Below are 1509 nucleotides of genomic sequence, written 5' to 3'. Positions count from 1 at the left end.
GAGTTGGACTTGGCTTCTCCCTGGCAAGCTGACTCCAGAACCCTCTCCCTGAACCTCACTCCACACTACCTCCCTATAGCATATATTTCGGGCAAGGATTTTCCTGCACCCAAAAGCAGAATGTCAAAGATACAGAAATTAAAATAACTCTTCTGTGATCAATGGGAAGAGATTAGTGTTTCATTAAGAGCCGCTGTTGAATTGAACCGCCATTGAATTGAACAAGGGCTCTTTACTTGGATAATTATTGTTTGTATTCAGCTTAGACTCATTGTCTGCAGGTTCTAGGATCAGTCATCACAGGTGGAAGGCATAACTTTCTGTACTGCTACATTAAAGCTGAACAGTGCCAACAGCCAGGCATCTGCAGTAATTGCTTTCATGTATCGAGGTCTTGAGGCATGCCTGTGAAAGTTAGAGGAATAATATGGATTTGTAAAGAATGAATTAATTTATTGAAAATTGAACAATGTTTTGAGGTTAAGAGTATTTAAAAAAATTTAAGGTCTAGTTTTTATAGAAAAAATAAAAATGTCTTCCAAAGAGTAAACCCCTTTTCCAAACTTTCTCTTCTGTTGCATTATGTCAACATATGAACTGATGAAGCAAAAAGTGTGAGTCCAGAAATGGCAAAAATCCAATTTCTGAACCACAACATACATGAGTAAAAAAACCAGAGATGATCTGTAGGCAGTCGATTAACATGGTTCCTGAACTTGGATTGCTGAAATTCAAGCTGAATCCAGCTTACACACTGTACCCCAAAGTCTCAATTCTCTTCAGTAGGTTTCCTCTCCTAGGTTCTTTCAGAATCTCTGTTAGAAAATGAAGATGAATTTGCTTGTGATTTGTATATATGTGTTATGTGTGATGTGACATGTGTATGTGTGTATTTGTAAGTGGTTTGGGGGTGTGTATATGTGTATTGTGTTTGTGCATATGTGTGTTTTGGAGTGTGTGTATATGTGTGTGGCATTTGTGTATTTGTATAGGGGACAGATAGATACATGGTGGCTGTGTATGTGTGGTGTGTATTTGCACACAGTGTGTGCATGTTTGTGATATGTATGTCTATGCATTTGTATTTGGAGTTTGTGTGTTCTGTGTTGTGCATTTGGGCATGGGGGTGTGTTTGTATGTGGTTCATATGTGTATGTAGTGAATTTGTATGTGTTATGTGTACATGTGTGTATGTGGTATATTTGCATGTAGTGTGGGGCTATGTCTATATGTGTTGCATATGCATATGTCTGTGTATTTGTGATATATGTGTGTATATTTGCATTTGGGGTGATGTGTATATGAGTTTGTGATAAATTCATGTGGTGTGTATAGTCTGTGGTATGTGTTTGCGTTATGTGTTTATGTTGTATATGCACGTGCATGGTGTATATGGTGTATGCATGATGTGTATATGTATATATTTGTATGGCATGCAGTGTATGTATTGGTATGTAGTAGTGTGTGTATGCCTGTGGAATGTGCATGTGTGTGGGCTATGTATTGTGT

This window comes from Homo sapiens, chromosome 12 (assembly GCF_000001405.40).
Source record: "Homo sapiens chromosome 12, GRCh38.p14 Primary Assembly".
Lineage (NCBI taxonomy): Eukaryota > Metazoa > Chordata > Mammalia > Primates > Hominidae > Homo > Homo sapiens.
The sequence above is the reverse complement of the archived record's forward strand: the minus strand, read 5'-3'. Positions refer to the sequence as shown.